Source organism: Homo sapiens, chromosome 9 (assembly GCF_000001405.40).
Source record: "Homo sapiens chromosome 9, GRCh38.p14 Primary Assembly".
NCBI classification, from domain to species: Eukaryota; Metazoa; Chordata; class Mammalia; order Primates; family Hominidae; genus Homo; species Homo sapiens.
This window is the reverse complement of record NC_000009.12, coordinates 115,989,897-116,014,188: the sequence shown is the minus strand read 5'-3', so window position 1 is coordinate 116,014,188 and position 24,292 is coordinate 115,989,897. Positions and strand designations below refer to the sequence as shown.

At 38.2% G+C, this 24,292-nt stretch overlaps 1 long non-coding RNA gene across 2 annotated transcripts; it reads right to left on the bottom strand.

Moving 5' to 3' along the window:
* Nucleotides 1–1,221: 1,221 nt before the first annotated feature.
* LOC105376236 (uncharacterized) lies at nt 1,222–24,267 on the bottom strand. Of its 2 annotated transcripts, XR_001746909.2 has the most exons (4): nt 24,152–24,267; nt 13,179–13,342; nt 1,659–2,836; nt 1,222–1,562 (listed from the first exon to the last, which is right to left on the bottom strand). It is a non-coding gene; the product is annotated as an uncharacterized LOC105376236 (long non-coding RNA). The 2 variants fall into 2 exon arrangements; XR_930271.3 differs by having other exon boundaries at nt 1,222–2,836.
* Nucleotides 24,268–24,292: the final 25 nt, after the last annotated feature.

Below are 24,292 nucleotides of genomic sequence, written 5' to 3'. Positions count from 1 at the left end.
ATCAGACCTCTAATCCAACCATCTCCCCAGTACAAAGACACCTTGTATAAATGATTTGGCTAGGTGTTATCCATCTCTGTTTGCAAACATTGAGGATTGGGGACCTCAGCAAATGTTCAGTATTGAGTAAAAATGATTCTCCCTATAATTTCTATCCCCTAGTTCTAGTTCCACATTTACAGAGTAGGTATAATATCTCTTCTGCATCAGAGCCTTCCAGATTTCTAGGTAACTTTCAATCCTCTTTCCCTACCTATGTACCCTTAATACTCCTCTTCTGGTGGCTAAATATGTCCCTGATGTTCATTCAGTCTAGCCATCCAACTGCATATTGATTATCTGTCTTAGGTCAGGCACAGGGCTAAATTCTTGAACTATATATAAATCCAAAACACCAGAAAATAATTTATAGTATTTTCATTATTCTGGTTGCTCTCTTGGGTCATTTCTAACTAAAATGGGGTGTTTCCTCTTGGTTAAAAATTTATTCCTCACTCTTCCTTCTTTCTCAGGTTAGATTCTTTCCATACAAAATCTTAACTAACAGACACCATTTACTGAAGACTCACCCTATAAGATGTGCTATGCTCACCACTTTACAATCATTTCCTCAGTTCATATTTACAAGAAACCTGGAGGTTTTATTATCCCTTTTTTAACAGGCTAAGAAACTAAGTCTTCGAAATGTTAGGCAACTTTACCAAGATCTGAGCCAGTCAGTAATGGAACTGAGTGTCAATCCCAGGTCTGTATGGATTGATAGGACCTGAGCTCTTAGCTACAAGGCTGCTCTTCTCTATAGCCTTGGCTCAAAATAGCATTCAAATGCCAGTAACCCCCAAATGTATATCACTTCTGTTGTGGGTGAAATTATGTCCTCTCAAAAGATACACTGAAACACTGATTGCCTTAATACCTCAGAATGTGAACTTTCTTGAAAGTAGGACTGTGGCAGATGTAAGTAGTTAAGATGAAGTCACACTGGAGTAGTTGGACCCTTTATGCAACATGACTGCTATCCTCGTAGGAAAAGGGAGATTTGGACTCAGATAGAGTGAAGGCCATGTGAAGACAGGGGCAGACACTGGGGTGATGCTACTGCAAGCCAATGATCACTTGGGACCACCAGAAGCTGGAATGGCAAGAAAGAATCCTTCCCTAGGGCCCTTCAGGGGGCAAAATCCTGCCAATACCTGATTTCAGACTTCTGGCCACCAGAACTGTGATACAATAAATGTTTATTGTTTTAAACCACCTAGTTTGTGGTACCTTATTATGGCGGCTCTGGGAAATTAATCAATCCCCTCAGGCCTCTGTTTTGAGCTTCAATGTCACATTTCCAACGGCTCCACAACATTTTTCCTTGACAGCATCATAGGCAGATATTATTTAAATAGCCAATGCTGATTTTGCAAGCTTGCCTTCTCTCCCTTCCATGATCATCTTCCAGTGCTTCCTCTTCTCTGTGCATCACACCAATATCCACACAGTAACTTACACTTGACAGATTTCCACTTACTTTTCAAATATGTATTGCGTGGCTGCAGGCACTAGGAGAGGTACTAGGGACAAAGAAGAAGAGAACAATTAAAGCAGCTATCACTGTGCTAGTGCTTACTATAAACATGACATCCTTCTAAAGGCTTTGGATACATTACCTAATGGATTCCTCGCAACAACTCCATGAAGTAGGACTACTCATATATCCATTTGACAGATGAGCAGATGAAGACACAGAGAAGTCGAGTAGCTTTTCTTGGATCACACAGCTGGCCAGTAGCAGAACCAAGATTTGAAACCAAGCAATCTGGACCCGTGTTTGTGTACTTAATGACTGAGATTTTCATTTTCTTGGGTGGGAACAGCTCCTGCTTCAAGGATTATACATCCTTGTAGAGGAGCTAAAATATTTAAGAAAGTACTTTATAAGTGAGTGAATATAACGTTATAAACTGTGATAAGTGATGGGAAGGGAAATTAAACAGGGGAAAGGCAAGAGGATCAATTTCCCTGGAGAAGAGATGCTCAAGCTGAGACCTGATGAAGGAGCAACATTTCGCCAGGTTAAAAGAGGAGCTAAGGGAATTTTTAGGCAAAGGGAACAGCATATACAAGGCCTTGTGATGGAATCAGACCAGACATTTCTCCCTTCCTCATACCCCAAGTCCAACTGATTGCTGAGTGTTATTGAATTTGTTTTCTAAATATTTGCCATTTCCCTACAAGTCCACAGTCACTTCTAGACTACTATAATAACCTTCTAACTGCTCTCTGTGCATCTATACCTGACTCTCCAATCAGAATGCTATACAGAAGCAATGGTTATAATTTACACGCAAGTTTTATTGGGTCTCTCTTCTGCTGAAAACTCTTCAGTAGGTTCCCCCTTCTATTCAGCATGGAATCCTAACTATGTGTCATGATGCTGTGGACATCTGAGATTTCAAACTTCTAGTGTCTTTTCCTCAGCTCTGATAATAGCAATACATATCTCCTGACTTCACGTTTGGAGAATGGTTCTTCACCAAATACTTCAGGAAATCATGGTGGCTCTCTCAGTTGCAGGATTTTCTTTCCAGACTGCAAGGGCAAGCCCGTGACCAAGAACTGTTTATTCATTGCACTGCATCTCATGCTGCTCTGCTTGATGTTGATGCTGAAGATCAAGTTGAGGCCAGAAGCAAGATGCAGAAGTTTATATGCACTCAGTAGAGGAAAGAAAGTTCTCTTCTTCCATTGGAATCTATAGCTAGGAAGATGTATGGGGCCATATGTAGCCAAAATCCCTCAACCTCTAACACCTAGAAGGGTCCTTCTGCAGGATGAGAGAATGTGGCTGAAATAAAGATTAAAAACAGGCATGAGAGTTAAGGAGTGTCTAGGCAGCATGATTTGAGTTCCTGGATCTGGTTATTTCCAAGGCTAGTGTTACTCCTATTTTTTTTTTAATATGAGCAAATATATTTCTTGGTACCACTCCCCCCACCCACCCCCACCCCCACACACACATCTCACCCCTTTCCCATGCATACTTTCTTATTCTCATGAAAGTTAGATTATTTTTTTCAGTAACTTGCGACAAGCTGGCCATGATTATAAAGGCATGGCCTTCAGCACCCTGTCTGATCTGTTTTGGGTCTGTTTCACTCCGTTGCATCCAAATTTGGCAGCCTTTCCTGGTCCCTTCACCTTCTTCAGGGGCTTCACAGATTCATATGTTTATCCTGGAAGCCTGTCTCCAACACTACTCTCATCCCTTTCTAACTAACTCCTGTATAGAAGACCTTCAGGTCCTCAGTTGGTCTTCACTCACCAAATAGGTAAGGTAAACTTGGTCAGTGCATTCATAGCTTTAATTACCACACAAATAAATATTTGTGTAGTTAATTGTTAAATTTATGTCCCTTCCACCAGAACGTATAAATTCCACACAGGCACAGACCTGACATCTTATTTAAAATTCAATCAGAAAAAAACTAGATAAGTTGAAGTTAAACAAAACTAAAAGCTTTCATGCATCAAAAGACAGTATCAACAGTTAAAAGCAATCATAGAAAGAGAGAAAATATTTGCAAATCACACACCTGATAAGGGATTAGTGTCTAGAATATATAAAGAACCCCTACAATTCAACAACAACAAAAAAAGAAGCTGGTAAGCTGGTTTAAAAAAAACGGGCAAAACGTCAATGATAGACTGGACAAAAAAGTGTGTTACATATACACCATGCAACACTATGCAGCCATAAAAAGTAACAAGATCATGTACTTTGCAGGGACATGAATGGAGCTGGAAGCCATTATCCTCAGCAAACTAATGTAGGAATGGGAAACTAAATACCACATGTTCTCACTCAAAAGTGGGAACTGAACAAAGAGAACACATGGACACAAGGAGGGGAACAACACTGGGGCCTGTCGCTGGGGTGGAGAGGTGAGGGAAGGGAGAGCATCAGAATAAATAGCTAATGCATGTGGGGCTTAATACCTAAGTGATGAGTTGATAGGTGCAGCAAACCATCATGCCACACGTTTACCTATGTAAGAAACCTACACATCCTGCATATGTGTCCTAGAATGTAAAACAAAGTATAATTTAAAAAAAACTTTCCAAAAAAATGGGCAAAACACTTGAATAGACATTTCTCCAAAGAAGGTATACAAATGGCCAATAAGCACATGGAAAAGCCCTCAACATCTCTAATTCCTAGGGAAATGCAAGAAAAAAAATCACGATAAAACACCACTTCATGTCTATTCTGAAGGTTACTATTTTTTAAAAAAAGCAGAAAACAAGTGTTGGTGAGGAAGATGATATATTGGAACTCTCACACATTGTTGGTGAGAATGTGAAATAATAAAGCTGCTGTGAAAAGCAATATGGCAGTTTCTCAAAAATTTGAAAATAGAATCACCTCTTGATCCATCAATTCTACTCCTGGGTATATATCCAAAATAGCTAAAGCAGACACTGAAGCAGATGTCTGTACACCCATGTCCACAGCAGCATTATTCAAAAGAGCCAGAATGTGAAAGCAAACCAAATGTCCATCAGTGGATCAATGAATAAGCAAAATGTGGTATGTAAATGCAATGGAATATTACTCATCCATAAAAAGGAAAGAACTTTTGACGCATACTGCCACATGGATGAACCTTGAAGACATTATGCTAAGTGAAATAAGCCATACTCGAAAGAACAAATATTGCAGTATTTCATTTACATGAGGTACCTAGGAGTAGTGAAATTCATAGAGACAGAAAGAACAATGCTATTTGCTAGGGACTGGGAGTAGGGAGAATGGGGAGTTATACTTAATGGGTACAGAGTTTCAACTGGGGAAGATGAATCAAGTTCTGAAGATGGATGGTGGTGGTGGTTGTACAAATGTACTTACTGTTTGTAAATTGCACACTTAAAAATTGTTACAATAAAAATTTTATGTTACGTATATTTTACTACCTTAAAAACTCCACTCTGACATAGAAGAAAAAAATGTACAAACTACTTTAAAGCCAAAAATAGGACAAAGACATTATATATATATGAGTATAAGCCTATTTTCCTGAAGAAAAAAATGCTAATATACACCCAGAAAAAAAAGTCTAAGATCAATCCATTAATTGTGGTTATTTCTGGGTTGAAATTATGGGTGATAGACTTTCAGTTTATACCTTACACACTTTGTTACAACTTAAATGCCTTAAAATAAGTATAAATTGCTTCTTGTGTTAAGAAGCAATCAATAAACATATTTTCATTTTGACAAATAAATGCAAAGCCTGAAATGAAGTACAAAACTTTCTGTGTGGGCTGGCCAGAGCAGGTTGAAGATGGCTATCACTTGCCAAGTTTGGGATGCTGTGCTTCTAATTTAAGATGAATATATCATATGCCAGGCCCCCAACAAGGTGTTTTCTGGCTTCATGTTAATTCTGGAAAGGTAATTACTCCCACAACCTGGCAACCTACTCTCTGGGGATTTTTCTGGACAGAGCATGTTTTTCAATACAAAAGCAAAAATGATGGGGAGGTTGGAACTTCAGGAGACTAAGCTTAGAAGTAACCTTTTGTGGCTGGGCTATTTTAACCCTTCTCCATTCATCCCACACATTGCATACCACAAGTTTGTCTAACCAGGAAACCCGACCCAAGAAAATCAGGCCACAGGTGGAAAGTGAGAGGTGGCATTCGGCTGGGAGAAAGTATGTTATTGTTGGTGAATCACATCCGGTGAGAGCTTAAGGGGCAGCTAGGGCACTTCCTTGGTCTTGATTTTGTCACTGATGGGACATAAAGTTCACACTGAATCAAGGATGAGACTCTGCAGACCGTGTTGAGGACAACGTCTAGGTATGCAGAGAACAAAGTAGATTCTTTAATGATGCCATGGCTTTCAGTGAATGGGAAAAGGACTATGAAGAAGAGGTTCAGGTGTGAGTTTGTTTTAGAGAGAATATGGGGAGGAAGATAAAAAAGGTCCTTATTCATAAGTCAGACACACCTAGTACTAGTTTTAGGTCTGCCTTGATTAGATCTGGGGTTATGAGCAAATCATTTAATATCCTTGAATTCCATTTGCCTCTGTGAAATGAGGAAGTTGTACCTGGTGACTTTCAAAGTGTATCTTAGTGTAGAGGCTACAGCTTAATTGGGCTTCAACTCTCAGCTGTGCACTTACTAGCTGCGTGTCCTGCTTAGTCCTCCTGCATAGCAAGGTAGGCCAAGCCTGGGGCCTGGTTCACTGCAGGTGAGGTGCTTACACCAATGCTGTTCACACCACCATGAATGTAAGTGTGTCCTACCCACCATATTGCTTTCGTGGTGTCAGTAATAATTATGTGTGTTTAGGTATATAGACTACCCAAATTACGGCTAGTCATGTTCATGTGGACCTACCTGAGTGTGCACAAGGCTTTAGAGGTCATTCTTACTCCTCAGCTAATTGAGGCACAGAAAGGTTAATAAACTTGCCCAAAGTCACACAGCCACTAAATATAAGAGCTGGGATTTGAACTCAGATTGTGTTTTGTCAGATTCTTTGCTCCTGACTATTGTGCTACACTGCTGCTTTTGAATTAAAACGTCTCAAGAGCACCTCATTCATTTTCTTCTGTGTAACACAAATCAAAGGTAATTTAACACAAGAAAACATTTTTTAGCTGCCTTGACATTTGTGCTACTCCAGACCTTTCTGCAAAGTGTTCAAACCCCCACCACGTTCGAATTATCCTAGCTGGAAGTTTGCATTTAAGAAGCTCCTACTTGAGCTGCAGCATGCATTTGATGTGCATTTTTGAAAAATGTGGGAGTTTTCAAAATATTCTAAATTACCTACCTAAGGAAATAAGACAGAGAAAATGGAGCAGTCATGCTGATTAATATTTGAACATAAACAATTATAAGGAAAACCTACAGAGAATGTGAACTGATAGAATTCCTTGCCCCATACAATGTGTTTCTAAGCCATGGGGGTTTGCCTTCCTCCATATTTCCTGTGTACCCTTCTCATGGCTTTCCCGCTGCTTCAACCAAAAATCTAGATGAGCCCTCATTACAGCAACTCCATGATTGGTTTCTCCCTCACATACTAAACTAAAGCTGGTGGCTTAATTCCTTGTTTTTTCCACTTCTTTGCTCCAGAACCATCCATGATTCCTCTTTCCCTGCTGATATTTAAGTTTGGCACTCAAAGTTTCTGTGATCTATTTCTAAGCCACAGTCTCTATATGATGCCCCATCTATGTTTCTCCTTTACCTATTCTTTGTTTCAGCAAACCTTGCCCATCCCTTGTTCATTGAACATGTTCTCTATCCTTTATGCTTTTGCATATACTATTCTTTTTCCCTGGGATGTCCCTCTCTTCATTCTACATTCTTAATTTCCACTTTTTTTTCCAAATCCTACACCCAGTGTTATCTCTTAGATGGCCCTTACACACAGACTCTGTCATTGATTCTGTCTCATAATCTCTGAACCCCAGTCCACATGGCTGGTTTCTCTGTTACAGCTCTTTCCATTTTGTTCAGTCCCCAAAGTGGAAAGTTTAGGCATGTGATTGCCTTACTACTACATCTAGCTACAGTCCTCTCCCCCACCCAAGACAGAAACAGAACATGCTGAGTGTCTGGGTGAACTGAATATAGGACCCAGAAATTTTGATATTCCTATTTCTGCATCAGGAATATGTATTCAACATTCATTCCACACATATTTATTGAGTACCAAGAAGTGTACCAGAACTTGGAGACTCATTCAGAGTAAAAGCCAAAGCCTTACAATGGCTTACAAAGCCCTGTGCAATGTTTTAGTCTGCTCTGACCTGTCCAGCCACACTGGTGGCCTTACTGTTCCTGGAACATGCATGGTGTAGTCCAATCTCTGTGTTTCATACCTTCCTGTCCTTCCTGCCCAAGATAATCTTTCTCTAGTACCAACCTGCCTCATCTTTCACCTACTTCAAGGTTTTGCTTACCTGCCCCTTCTGCAATGAGGCCTTCACTTACCATACAAGGTAATATTGCAATCACCCCCGATCCTGACACTTCCTATCTTCCCCTTGATTTACTTTCCTCCCCAGTGCCTGTCTTCTGATTTACTCTATGTTTTTACTATTTATTTACTGATTCTGCCACTAGAACATTAGCTGAACCCCTTAGGCTTAGAAAAATACCTTACACATAATAAGAGTCCTATAATTACTTGTTGAATAAATTGATGATTACAAAGTTAGAAAAGACATGATCAGTCTTCACCCTCTTGTTCCTCATGGACCACTGAGAGGATGTGGTCGACTCAACACCCAATAGGAGAAGTGTTCTTGTAGGGAAATAGGGGCAGCCGATACAGACTAGGACAGTCACAGAAAATAAGCAAGTCATTGTCCCTGCCTTAAAAGAGTCATAGTTTTCTAGATGAGCAAATGATAATTAATAAATAGCAAGCGATGTGAAAATGACCACGTCCAAAGATAAAATAAACTCTTTTTGTGCACATCTTATCCTTCCCACTTGTCTATAAACTCCTTGAGGGCTTGGTTCACAGCAAATGCACTATTTTATCCACATGTGCTCCCTTCTCGTCTCCCAGTTACAATGTCTGGAGGGAAGTAGCATGAAAGAAGATGCTTGAATGAATGGATTCTGAAACAATATGCAAGCATGCGATCCCTCTCCCCCTTAAGCATCATAAATACCAGTGGTGATTTGGCTGTGAGATGACTATATTTTTCTGTTTATCCATTTGGCTGGCACAGTAAGAAGGGATTTCACAGTCATTCACTCACTGATATATGTTGTGATAAAAGCAGGCATCTGCCTGTGAGCAGCAGTTCTCCATAAAGCTATTCTGAGAAAAACAGGTCCAGTAAGCTGAGCTCACACCCATTACTGGAGATGTATCCAAATTTATTACTGGAAGTAGTATTAGTGGGAGAGTTGACACAGCCTTATCCTGGTCAATTTCATCAATGATTTGGACGACATGAGGTCATCTAAGCCATGGAAACCGTGTTGCCTTCATTCACCCACTGGAAGGCTTGATGTGGGCTCCTGGATGGTGAGGGGATACTGCCTCTTTTAGAATGACATTCTTGTTTTAGAGAAATAGATGATAAAACTGGGGCCCAGAGAGAGGAAGTGATTTGTCTAAAGTCACAGAGCTGCAGCAAGGTTAAGCCTGAATTAGATCTCACATGTACATTCTGAAGACTCCAGGATTTTGCTTTACTAGTCTGCTTCTAGTTGCCAGCTTTTCAAAATAGTTTTGTGCCCAAAGCAAACTCAAGACACACACTTGGTAATATTTTATGTGGTTGTCTTATTTAAAATGAAACATGGCTTCTTCATAAAAAGTTTCCAATTACAAGATTCTTGGGGTAAATGGCCCCATAAAGATAAAAATGGTGATGATCTTAGTAGAGGTATCAGAAAGGCCACTGTGCTCTCATTAACACACACAAACACACACACACACAACACACATACAGTCTAATAATGCTATATTAAATCACACTGGAGACAGAAGTCAGGCCATTACAAAGGGAGTTAATAATCACAAATATCATCCTCACAAAAGACAAAAGTCAAGGACATTTAGTCTCACTCACCATCTGATACATACTTGTCATTGCTAGCATATCACCAATGACAGAACTTAATACCCACTGGAAGCTTTCAGTTTTAATACTGATAGTACTAGTACAGCTATTTTTTTAATATTTAGTTCTTCTATAACAAGAAGCCAGAACAAAAATAATAAAAGTCCAGAAAAAAGACAATTAAGTCAAGAGAAGACTTAGTGTCAGTGCGATACACAAATCAACTTATCTTCTATCCAGCACATATAACATATCTGCCAGTAGTGACCTGTCCCAAGTGCTAGGGACACCAAGATAAGTAAGACCTGGCCTCTGCCCCTATCTGCCAAGGTGGTTTAGAATTGTGGTTCTGAGAGTACTAGTAGCCAAAGTAAATAAGGAAGTTTGACTAATACACTTACAGCGTCTATAGGGACCAGAGAATTGGGAGGAGGAAGGGGACCATTATTCAGGGCAAGAGAGATGCCCAAGAGTCATGGCTCAGTCCTCAGATGTCTGGTCTGGACACCTAATTTTAAACTTCCATAAAACATGTTTGAGATTACTTGGCTAGCCAAGATCAGGATCTAGACTTTAAGTTCCCCCCAATCAAGGATTATTCCTGATTCATTCCTGTCTCTCCAGTAATTAGCTAGACTTGACACTTAGATGATACTGAGCATGTGTATCCTGAATTATTGGAAGTGGCATTGGAATAATTACACAAAGAAACAGAGAATTAGGAGACAATAAAATGTGGTTTAGACTCCAAGTGCCAATAAACTGCAGACTCAAGAAATTGGTGATGGATGGAATATCAAGAGAGATGTCTTGGGAGGAGCACAGTTTGTGCTGGATTTTGATTAATGATAATCCTTCTCATCTGTTTGGTAATTTATAAGGCATTTCTGTATTCACAAGTTCAATCTAGCTCACAATAAACTGTGAAGTTGACAGGGCTTATTTATTACCCCCACTGTAATGGGGGCAACTGATCCTTGAAAGAATTCACCCACAGATGTGCCTCACTACAGTATTATTTGTGCTTCACATAGGCATTTAGCCATGATTGCATTCTTAAAGTGATGTAAATGTGAGCAAAAATTAGACAATATGGTAAATTGCTTGCCAAGACGATCACAATAATTCCACTGTCCTTGTATGTCCACTGTTTTTTGTTTTTTTGTTTTTTTGTTTTGAGACAGAGTCTTGCTCTGTCGCCCAGGCTGGAGTGCAGGCAATCTTGGCTCACTGCAAGCTCCGCCTCCCGGGTTCATGCCATTCTCCCGCCTCAGCCTCCCAAGTAGCTGGGACTACAGGCCTCTGCCACCGCGCCCAGCTAATTTTTTGTATTTTTAGTAGAGATGCGGTTTCACCGTGTTAGCCAGGATGGTCTCGATCTCCTGACCTTTTGATCTGCCCGCCTCGGCCTCCCAAAGTGCTGGGATTACAGGCGTGAGCCACCGCGCCCGGCCCCTGTATGTCCACACTTTTCAATATGTCTTGGCCACCCTTCCTATTAAAAAGTAGAGGTTTCTTCCCTCCACTTTGATTTTGGTCTTGGCCAAATTGTGAGTTGCTTTGGTCCAAAAAATATTAGCAAGTGTGACAATGGCAGAGACTTTAAATGTATTTATGCATCACACTTTGCACTCTTGCCTCTGATGAAATCCTGACACCACAACTTGTAGGAGCTCAGGTTCACCTGAATGAGAGGCATCCCAGAGAGTAGTCTGCCAACTGCCAGTCCTGCGGGTGAGGCCAACTGAGATCATCCAGTTCTACTCGAATTGCCAGCTAACCTCAGTCGTTGTAAGTGACCCAAAATGAACCCAGCACAAGAAACACCCAACAAAAATTGCTGACTCATAGAACTGTGAACACATAAAATAGTGTTCAAAGCCTCTAAATTTTATAGTGGTTTTTAGAAAATGATAGATAACTGAAGGCCAGGATATCAGTAAAACATGAAACAATTAAAAATAGGCCCTTCTTGGACTCCCTGTGCCATTAAAAACAGGAGAAAGCTTTTCTAATGAAACTAAGCAGTTTGCAACTATTACTCCTCTCTATGGACAGATTAAAAAGGTGAATTAATCTGGAAAAGCACCCATTTCTGATGTTAGGAAGCCCTCAAAGCAAATTTTTTATGTAGGACCATCGTGCCTGGCATCCACTGAGATATTCATTCCAGAGATCCTGTTCAACCACAAGTCTCCAAATACCAGTGACTGCGGGAATGGGGTGAGAGGATAGCCTCTAGAATTGATTTGAGGAAAAACGCCTTTCATTACATTCAAGATTGTGATAGCAGAGGGACCGTAACAAAGTCTTGCCTTAAGATACAATGTACGCTTGGTCAAAGAGATCAAGGAAAAGTAAAAGGGGCTTTATAAGAAATAATCATATAATTCACAGTGCTCACAGGGGCACTTCTGAGCACAGACAAAGCACTTAAACTATTAAAATAATTATATAATTTTTCAAATATTTATTTGTTGTCTGACAGACTGGTTTTATTATACTGTTAGACCTATAAAATCGTTCTTTAAAAAAGCTGTTTCCAAAAATTAAATTATTTTTTAAAATAGCTTAAGTTCACATATACTTACAGAATTTACTTTTTAAATTAGTGTAGTGATTATTTGAGCAGAGGAAATGATAACTTTTATCAGTGGATATTTAGCTAATATAATGACTTTCTTAGTCATATTTATATCTAATTTAGTATCACTGATTTTTTTAATGCTTTTTGCTCTCAGTATGGTCCTTTTAGTTTTGATATTTCCACTAAATTGCCTGCAGTTTTTCTCAGAGATCTGCATTATGGTCAAGAAATTTAAAATTTTTGATACCCTCAATTGACTTTACTTAGTAAACCTTAATATTGAGAAAATACACTCTACAGATGCCAAGACACCTGCAAATCTCAGAGCAATTTATGCTAAGTAGGAAAATTTATCAACTCTGTTTTTTCACATTTAAATGTGTAAATATTTCAGCCCAAATATGTTTTACAAGTACTCTTTTCTCTCAATTTAACCAGATGGCTCTTTCAACAAATATTTTTACAAGACGAAAACTTGTAAAATAAGTATCTCTATTTATGATGCTAAATTTAGGTGCTACCAAATTGTACATCTTCTCAATTTCATTCTAATTCAGCACTAAATATAAATTTATCTAATTAACAATAGGATCTCCTTTAAAAGATTGTAGCTACACGACTAGATGCCCCCAAATGGCATTCGACTGTACTTTCTGCCACTGCTCATATTCAAGCACCGTCATCTAGTCGTTTTCTCAAAATAACCTTTACAAATCTCTTGAAATGGTTTCAAGAATCACAGTCTTTAATTTCTGTTTTATTAAAGATGCACTTTCATTATTTGATTTTATTAATACTGGAAGGCTTTATCACAAAATTAAAAACCATTGCCAAACAAAGCAATATATAATTATAGATTTACATCAAACAATAAATGATTTTTAAAAAGACTGCAGCAAGGGCACTTCAGACCACTTTCTGTGGAAGGACTACTCAGCCTTTATTTCCCATCCATATTTCATGCACACATCACCTCTTTATTTCTCACTGACCTGCCTGGCCATTTCCTCCATTTCCTGGGCTGTGGCAGGGGCCATGGAATTATTGCATGGTACACTGGTGGCCAGCAGGGGCAGCATTGTTGAATTATTTTTTTCAACACCTCCAGACACAGGAAGGGGAGGTTTTCCTAGACAGTCCGGCTTACGTGCTGACTCTGAAAGGAAAATGTTGGTTATTTTGTGTGGAAAGGGTCTGAAAACAACAACAATAACAAAATGGACTAAGGATGATTGTCATTCAGGTGTAACTCTAAAAGGAAGTCTGTGTTAAAGGAAGTCGTCTGCATTCAATGTGTCTCACACACTACAAGCTGAGGCCATTGTAAAGTCTGAATATAATGTGGAGGCCTTACACACCTCCCTAATTAAAATGCAACTTTTAATAATGATACTTCACTAAAAAGAAAAAAACCCTGAACAAATTGTAAATTGGATGGGACAATAGGATAATTTATCCCGGGTGAATTAAGGTATTTGGTCACCTGAATTTAAGATGTTTCTCTTCTGTAAGGTGTATCCAAATATACGGTATCTGACTTAAGAATCTCAGCTGAAAATATTCTTATTTGATCAGCCTTGAGTAGATAAGGGAAAATAATTAATACAAATATTGAGAACCATAAAATGTTTGCCTTCATAACCAAAATCAGACAATTTTTTATGCACATTCTACCTATGTTAAAAATGTGTTCGGAAAAGAAGAATGACTTCTCTCTTCTTTGTACAAGCACTATACAGAGGTAGGCTGAAATACAGATCATGCCCTTCTTCTAGTGTTTTTGCTTTTGTTGTTGTTTTCGTTCACTGTTTCATTGGATTTTGTTGTTATTGTTTTAAGATGTTTAAAACCCTTCAACAGATGCTCCATAGTTGCAAGGTCAATGTTCGAAATCCTCAACTTTTTCCTCAAGGTCCACCATGATCCGGTCCCCATCTATCACTCTAGGCTTCTCTTTTATGGGCCTCTCCTTTATGTTCTTTCTTCTAGCTATGCATGATAATTTTCATTTCTTATAACGTGCTACATGCCTATATGACTTTGCATATGCTGTTTCTGTCTAAAATATACTTTAGCTCATGCCTTTTATTCATTTAGCAAGTATTATTTTTGAGTGTTTATGATGCATTAGACTATGTGCTAGACATCCTAATTCACTTCTGTATCCCTAGTGTCCAGTACAGGGCCTAAAGCATAGTGTGTTAGTATGTACATAATGGGTAGATAAATAGGCACGAAGTGAATTAGGCATTTTTTTTTATTTGAAGAATGTACAGGAAGTGCAATGGGATGAATCACATTTTTCCAGGTTAAAGGGATCACATGAGCAAATAGCATAGAAATAGCCTCACGGATTTCCTTCTTTTCCTCCTGTTACTCTTTGGCATTCTGTCATTTTGATCTATCACAGCCAAGAAGGGCAAAAACAATGGTAGGAATGTGATCTTGACCTCACACCATATAATCATTCTTAAATTCCAGCTAATTACATAAGATGTCTTAATAGAAAATTAAAAAGCAGATGATCAGGTGGTTACAAATGACAGTATCACTGGTGGAAATATGACCCATCTTCAAGGACAAGTTTAAATTTCACCTCCTCCAAGAAGCTTTGCTTCAATATGCAAAACCACTATGAAAGGTTGTGGTCGCTTCTTCCTTTTTGTTCTCCATAACCCGTTATATGTACCTTTATTTATTTTTTTCTTGTATTTATAGTGATTGGCTTATTCTTGTGTCTTTCCATCCTTTAGCACACTATGAGTTATCTGAGGACAAAGTACCACAACTCATTCATTTTTGCAGCAGCTGGCAACATGTCCTCAGTATTTGGTAATTTGATTGGAAAATTTAATCTATTATTTGGATGCATTTTAATATCAGCATTCTCACTCAACAGCTTGCAAAATGTAGTACTATTATATCTTATATGTGGGTAATTCTTTTCACCCATTTGTCATCAGCCTTCAGCCACATCACTCTGTATGTGGTTCCTGAAATACACCAAACTTTCTTTTATACTTAATATACTCCACAGAAATTGGTTCTTCTGCTCATAACATCTGTCTTTTCCCCTGATGTGTGCACTTGTACACACACATACCACACATACCTCCTTCATGGCTGCCTCTTTCTCAACTTTTAAGCCTTAATTTCAAGGTTAGCTGCTCAGATAGGCATTCCTGGACCACTCTACACAGACTCCCATTTCCCAATATCATTATAGCCCAACCCCTTCAGAGCATTTTTCAGTTTGTAACTATATACTTATTGTTTGCCTACTTGTATATCATCTGCCTATCCAACTATATTATAAGTTGCATGTTGGCATATAGGCCTGTTTTATTCACCACTGTATACCTGGTGCTAAGCACAGTATTTGACATATATTCGGTGCTCAATACATACTTGTAGAATGTATGAGCTTCAAAGTGCTTTTAGAAAACTTGGTACCTCTTCCAATGCTTCCTGCACTCCTGAAAATTAGAGATGAGGGATGAAGCCATTCTCATTTTACACAGAAGGATGCTGAGCCATAAAGGAATTACTAACACCCCACAATAAATCTGTGGAGAAGCTGTTCCAATCTCCTGGCCTATAGCCCATTACATACAATTCCAGGTCAGGTCTCCTACTCCTTCTCCAGTTTGTTTCCAGTTTGAAAACAAAGTTAACAAGTGCCTTTAGCATGACTTTGACCAAAGACTTCTCATGAGACACTTTGAGGGATCTCAAATGCCCACTTGGGCAAGCAGCCTTCAATCAGAAGCAGGCACGTGTTGCAGGCTATGAAAGGGGAAACCTTCTCTGTGTCACAGCTGAAAGCACTCCTCTAGATATTTAAAGCAAGCCCTCTTTTAAAAAATTAATGACCTGAAAGGGGAGAGAAGAAGCTGCCTATGTAATGTGGAAAAAGGAGCTGAATGACCACAGTCCTGGACCCTCTCCAGATGATATCATCAGCCTAGATAATAAATTTGTAACAATGTGGCTGAAAGAAAGGAGACATAATTTCAAAATTAGTCAAAGAAGCTGGTAGCAGTAGAACCAAAAATAAGGATTTTTTTTTTTAATCTGGTAGGCACAAATCTTCTATCCCCTGGGTAGTTAGATTATCCAGAGAGTAGAGCAGAAACCACAGTCATTTCTGAGTCTTGGAGCCTACTTGTTCCCAGCCCATCAGAACAGGCAGAGTGGCAAGTGGGCCTGTCTCCTTTGTGTGTCTGCTAAACATGCCCTTCTAGTTTAAAAAAGGATAAATGAGAGAATGCTGAAGTTATGAAAAGTCAGTCACTCACTTAACATGAACCATTACCTAGGGATTCTCATAGATCCTCATAATTATAAATGTGTGATAAGTTAAAAAAAAAGAATGAATGCATAAGGTTGAACGTTGTAATTAATTATGATGTAATTAATTGTGAAGCACAGATCACTACCTCTTTCATGTCAACTCCAATATTCTGTGGTGATTCCCCTGCCCCGCAGATAGACTGGCAGCAAGAGGGCACACATATTTATGACTTGGTCATCGTAGCTAAGCACAGTCAAAGGATATACTGGCAAAGGGCATTTTTTTCTGTTACCTTCTTTCTCCAAGCCACTTGTCACTTCTCTCCTAACCTACTATAGAAATCTTGTGATGGTTTTCCTATCAACTTACTTCCTCACCTCCAGTACAATTTTAATAGTCAGTTGGCATTTAAAAATATTAGTTGGGGAGTTGGGGCATGGTGGACCACGCCTGTAGTCCCAGCTACTCGGGAGGCTGAGATGGAAAGATTTCTTGAGCCCAAGAGTTCCAGACCAGACTGGGGACTATAGTGAGTCCCCGTCCCCTCCCTCTGAAAAAAATGTATCTATGAGTTCATTTTTGTTATTGCCTTGCCTAAACACTTAAATGTTTGCCCATTACTTCTTGAATAAAGACCAAGCTCCTTCTGTGCGTGGCCTATTATACCTTGTGTCTTCTGATATTCATCTACCTCTCCCATCTCTCCTTAATTTTCTTGAAAGTTAAAAGATAATGTGGCTAAAGTGAACAAGGAAGCCATGTGTCTTTAAGAAAGACACATTTCTATGGTCTTTTTATATCTCTGAGCTTTCACATTTACTGTTCCTTTCATGTGGAATGTTCACTTCCTTACTCAAACCTGGTTAATTCTAATACATGCTTCACCTAAACACACACACACACACACACACACACACACACACACATCTTTTCTCACAATAACCTGGCATCTCCCTCTCACTTGGTCGACCACTTTCCATTTATAACTGTATGCTAGTTTCTATGACTAATTGTTTAATTGCATGCAAGGTGGGGGTGGAGGGGCAATGCCCATGTTATGTACACTGCTTCTTCCCAGAGATTGCGCAACAGTGTGGTCAGTAAATATTTGCTGAATGGCTAAAAGAAAATTTACCACATTTTTTATGACTTTGGGCAGTCAAAGACGTGAGTTCAGTTCCAAGGAGCCTCAGTACATTACACTATCCCATAACAAAGATGATAATGATGATGAAAATTATGATCACCTACCCTTTATTTTGCCCCTTATATCTAATACTAGGTATTAGGCACTGAGATAAGGATTTTCTCTATATTTCTCACTTAACTCATTCAAAAGTGCTATGAAAACAGAGGCTCAGAGAGATTAAGTGCTTGTTCAAGATCATATAGCTAGAAAATGCCAGAACTTTGATTTAAAACCAGGTCTATTCAACTTCATAATCTGTTTCTTTTATAGCTCACCACAGTGTGAACTATAATTCTACTTTAGAAGTAGTTTCCCTACAGTCTGGGAATAAATAACTCAAGGAACATAGCCATGGATGTATGGCAGAGATGTGATCCTTGTGGATGAAGGAGAGAAAGTCACGAAGGAGAATGGGGATTTTGTAGAAGAAAGAGTGCACTATGTGATGGTGTGCACATGAGGGGTAAACACGATCTCACTGATATTTTCTTGACAGTAAAAACTGAGTTATGATGGTGTGTTAATATTTAGAAATATTAGAACATAGGGTGTAAGTTGTAAGAAAGAGATTGATATCTGTCTTTTGAAAATCCTGCCAGATGACTGGTGGTGAAAAGTTTAACAGAAATCAAACATCTGGTAGAGATTTTCCCAAACTTGCAACCCTCTTCTTACCTACCCCCACTCTAGCCTCAGTAAAGTTCTTCCTGTAGAAATTTCTAAAATTGATGAGAAACCAAGTATTTTTAAAATGAATCAATAGCTTTCTTAAATCTGTTTTTATTCTTCTAAAGTAGCTTAATAAAAATAACTTTATGAATTTTCTTAATATTTTAAATCTTAGAAAAGTGAACATAAAATATTCAGTAAGGACACATAAATGAATGAAGTTTACCACTACATTATTTTGAGAAAAAAGGATTTGCTTATCAAATAAATAAACAACTTTGATATCATTTGAAAGAATGTTTAAACACTGTAAGAGAATGAGCTATTCTCAAACACTTTACATATCAGCTGATAAACTTATAAAAAATCACTCTTTTTTATTGACTAAGATTTGTCCCTAGAGACACCTACTTGGCAATTTGTTTGAATTAACATATGTTTTTTAAAAGACAATCTACATTTATTTTTAAACTTTGTGTAAAAATATAAACTTTGTGTAATTCAGAGCAATACAGATTTATACCAATAGCTCTGTATTAGTCAAAATTAGGAAGGCTTCAGAACGTTTACATAATGTCTTCCTTGGAATTCTAACAAGGGCCACAGAATCTAAAGGCTCTCTCTTCATTCCTTCCTTCCTTCCTTTTTTTCTTTTTTCTTTCTTTCTTTTCTCTTCCCCTCTCTCCTTCCTCCCTTCTTCCTCCCTCCTTCTTCCTTCCTTCCTTCCTTCCTTTCTTTCTTTCTCTTTCTTTCTTTCTTTTTTCTTTCTTTCTCTCTCTCTCCTTCTTTCCCTTCCTTCCTTCCTTCTTTCCTTCTTTCCTTCTCTTTCTTTCCCCAGACATGAGGCTGTTATGAAATATTGATTACATTTAACTGCCTTTAAAAAGAAATTCTGCTTCTATTAGATGACTTCTGTAAGAATCTAACCCTAGAATTGGCTGAGAACATTTCCAGATAATATACCTTTCCCAAACAAAATTTGTTATTCAAAATACAGTAATTGAGAGAGCATCACAGATTCTCAAATCAAAGGAACAATTTTGTGAGGAAAACTCTGACCTGGTATTGAGGAATGCGCAGTGCATTTTATCATTGAATCTTAACAGCAACCCTTTAGGTTGGCCTGGTTATCCACATGGTGACAGAAGCTCAGTATTCTGATGGAGCAAGGCCAAGATTACATATTGGAAGGAGCTCAAGCACAACTCACACCCAGGTCTCCCAGGCTGTGAAGACCAAACTAATTTGCCTTTAACCAACTATAAAGACATTGCAGGGGTAAGGTGAAAGCATAAGCAAAGGAGTGATTAAAATGCCCATGATATTTCCTCGTTAAAGTTCAACTTCCTTTGCACCAATGTCAAAAGCAGTTGCTGAAATAAATAATATCTTGCTTATTTTTTACATTAGATTAATTCATTTAACATTTCAAAGTTAAGAACATCTAAAAAAAGATTAGAATAAGATTTATATACTGAATATCACCAATTGCCTAAATCAATACTAGACAAAAATATTGAAGATTTTCGTTTTAAAACTAAACAACAAAAAGAAAGATTTAAAACAAAATCAAGAAAATAAAATGTTACTTTCATCAAAAGCCTTTGAATTATCTTTTTCCCCATGATAAACCTATCCAATATAGCCTTCCTAAGTATAATTTGAGTTATCGCTTTCCTCATCAATAAAATTCCTACATAACAGTGCTGCTGCGAGGGTTAGAGGAGATAAAGTGTTTGAGCACAGTGCACTTGGCCTGCTTCACGAAAAGCATTCAGTCAATGTTTGTTCCTGTGCCTTTATTCTATTATTTTCTGTTCATTTCCACGTTCAGACCAATAGTGACATTTCAGGGATAGTATAATAGCAACAGATAATGGTGACGATATTGCAATGTGTCCAAATGAAAAAGCATTCAACAAGATTATGCTTTATGACCTGTAAATTTTCCATGATTATTCATGTTCATCGAAAGGGAATGTTAGAGGCTTCCTGATCCAAAAGCCACACATTACAGGTTTAGAGACTGGAGATGGCTTTCCTAAGGTCATCAGTGTTTAAGTTGTAAGTGTTTAAGAAAAGTTTATTTTGAAGAGGTCTGGAGTGTCATAACATTCTTGATAATTCATTTTCAGAAGACCTAAAGTGACAAAAAATTTAATTCCAGATTAGGATCTTGAACTTCATTACATAACTTAGCCATCTCAAAAACTCCACTTTGCCCATTGGATTCTGGTTCTGAATTCCATGCTTCTTAAACCTGGCCGTAGTCAACCAGCAGAAGGCAACCCAATTTCTTTTCAAAATTCCACTACATATTGGCAAGAGTATTGAATTTTTATGAATGCAGACCTGTTTGAGGCACTGGTAATAAAAGACTAAATGGACCATTGAGTTGCTAGCCATGCATTCAGAAAGATTTATCAGTTCCTTAAACACAATAAAATAAATATTGCTATTCTCCATGATAATTAAGAGAACAAAGTTGCTAGAAGGAGCCTGATAGATTACCTTCCTAACACAGTTGTGGTGTAGATGGGAGAACAGAGCTTCACCCAAAGAAGAGGTGTAAGTTGCTCAAGGTCATACGGTGAATCATGACAAAGCAAGGACTAGAATTCGCAACCATTGGGTCTCTAGTAATTAAATAGGCAAAAATACATGCGTGCATACGTACATAAGCATTCCCTAGAAAAGCATTTTTAGGCCACTTATAATTCACTTTGACATCTTCTTTGCACAAATCCCATTGTATAGCTATGACTGGAACAGGAAGAGAGTGACATCACTTCTAGAACATCTGCCCCTAGTGGATAGCATCAAAGACCCTAGCCAAGGACACCTCGGATCTCCTTGGACATGCTGGTTCAGCTACTTGCTTGGCTGCCATCAGCCTGACTCACAGCTTCAGAAATGGCAAGATGTGCACAGTAAGGGATGGAACAAAGTCATGCCCAAAGCTGAGTTGAGTTTGCCAAAATCATCCCTAAACCCCTTTAGCTAATTGGATATTGCTGGAGGGGACCTCCATTCTGCAGCTGAGCAACAAAAATGCCTCCAATGAAGACTTAACCTCCCAGAAGTGAGCTGAAATCATTTCTGGCAATGTAGTACTCCTTGTTTATTTTTAGATCAATAAAACAGAACTCATTGACTAACTGCTGGGCTCACACAAATTATTTGGAAGCTACAGCTCTAAAAAGATGTCTTCCAAATAAGTGTTTATTAATTTGCCCCTGTCTACATTATTAAGAAAAGAGGTTAATTAAGGTATTCACCGAGCACTGCTTTATTGTTTTGTTCACCAAATATTTATTGAATTAACTTCAATATGCCAGGGGATATGTTAGATCCTAGAAAAATATAAGTTAAGAACACCTTATTCAATCTCTTCTAGGTGTCTATGGAGATGCACCTTTGAAAATGTAACTAACAATTTTTCTATGGTTCTAGAAAGAGGGGATTATGTCAGTACCAGGAGAGTACACAGTAAGGTTACCTAACCATTCCAGGAGGTGGTGGAGAGGTTTTAATCAGGGAAGCAACATTTACGATGAAACCTCAAGGGGAAGTTCAATAAAAAGTGAGAAGGATGTTTCAGTCAGAGAAAAAGATATAAAAAAGATCCAAAGATGAGAGAAGACTTGGAAAATGTGAGGAACTGAAGGGAATTATCATGTCTGAAGCAATGCGATGAGACTGGGAAAACAAGCAGAACCAAAATTATAAGGAGCCTTGAAGGCCGCACTAGGAAACTTTGACTTAATCTCAATAACTAATAAAAGCAAAGAATGGTTGGGAGCAAGAGTGGTATAATCTTATGTTCATCATATACAAGTCAGTTAGACTGCAGGGGAGGAGTTATTTAGAATTGTAATGACACGGGGACTAGTTAGAGGCTGCCTTAGTAATCCAGGAGAGAAATGATGAGCCGAGGCCCAAGACCAGCACACATAGGGACAAGTGGAACTTTCTGAGTTCCTTCAGAACCACTCAAGCAGGAAGAAGCAAAGGGCTTCCAAGGAAAGGATAATCACCAAAGTGAATAGTGACTGTAGAAGACTTCTGGAAGAGTGACACATTTGGGTGTCATGAACAAAGAAGAGAACCAAGAGAACTGGAAAAACATTTTAAGTGGAGGGAATGGGGGCAAGAAGTCCTACATTGTTTTTAAGGAGCAGTGAGTAGTTACGTTTTGGGAAAGTTGTTAAGTGCCAGGCCTAGGAACTGAAAGAATCGCTTAGGGGCCTGGCACGGTGGCTCATGCCTGTAATCCCAGTACTATGGGAGACCGAGGCAGGCGGATCATGAGGTCAAGAGATGGAGACCATCCTGACCAACATGGTGAAATCCCATCTGTACTAAAAATACAAAAATTATCTGGGCGTGGTGGTGCATGCCTGTAGTCCCAGCTACTCGGGAGACTGAGGCAAGAGAATTGTTTGAACCCGGGAGGTGGAGGTTGCAGTGAGCTGAGATTGCCCCACTGCACTCCAGCCTGGCGACAGAGACTTCGCCAAAAGTCTCAAAAGAAAAGAATAGCTTATAGTAATAAGTGAGTTATTTAATAATAAAGAAATTGTTTATTTTTCTTGTTTCTTGTTCATTTGCTGAGTGTGTGCGTGTGTGTGTGTGTGTGTGTATGTGTGTGTGTGTCATTAGCAAATGCTTTTGTTCAAAATTTATTTTTAGTCTTTTTGAGTCTCTTATTCAGGAATAACTCTTGGGAACTATATATTAATAAACTTTCTTCTTTTTAAAACTCAACTTAGTAGTACTTTAACTTTTAAAAAGGACTTAGCTATATCCCTGCCATATTTTTTGTTTCTATATTTGTCTTAACTTTTTGTTTGCTCATGCTTGTCTGTTCTCTAATACAGAAATAAACCTTAGACTAGGAAATATGAACATTTATTTCACATTATTGAAGTAACCTAACTTACAGTAACAACCACTATCACTTTCAGTACTGCAACTTTAATAGAATCATTTCTCTTAAAATTTCACAGGACATACAGATGTCCATTATCAACATTGTCATTAACACTGTTACAGCCATGGCCATACAAAAAGAAGATATAGAACATATAACTATTAATCAAGAGAACAAAAAAATTTTTTGCACATTATATAATTGTTCTCTTAGAAAATTCAAATTATTAAAACTTTTAAAACTACCACAAACTATTAGTAAATTCCCCCAATTATATAAAACTGAATTTGATAAACTATTAGAAAAAATGAAACAAAGGTAGATCCTTGCCTAATTTCAGAGTATAATAAAATTTCACTTGGATTTAAGATTTGACTGAAAAAGTAAGAAAAAAGGAGGAAGGAAGGGATGGAGGCAGAAAAAAAGGGAAAAAAAAACATTGGAATGAATGAAACCACAAGAAAATAGAGATTAATATTTTTACATCTTGAAATTCCAAAACATTTTTATATATGACATCGATGGTAGAAATCATAAGGAAAAGGCGTGATATTTATGATTATATCAATTTTAACTTTATTGCTAATGAAAAGACCTAACATCAACATGCTTAAAACACAAATAACAAAGAGCTATTACCAATTCAAATTTAACAATAAATCTCAACAATGATATAATTACATTCTTACAAGAAAAAAATGCATGTATTTCAAAAATTCTGGAATGACTTTCAACAAAACATGAAAGAATATTATCTTTGAGTTGTAATATAGTGAGTAATTGAAAATCAATTTAAGATTTCTGCCTTAGTCCATTTGGGTTGCTATAACAAAATACCATAGACTGGGAAACGTAAAAACATCATAAGTTTATTGCTCACAGTTCAGGAATCTGGGAAGTCAGGGCACAAAGTCAGGGTACCAGCAGATATGATGTCCGGTGAGGGCCCATTCCTCGAAAATGGTGCCTTCTGTGTGTCTTCACGTGGCAGAAGATGTGGACAAGCTCTCTTGGCTTTCTT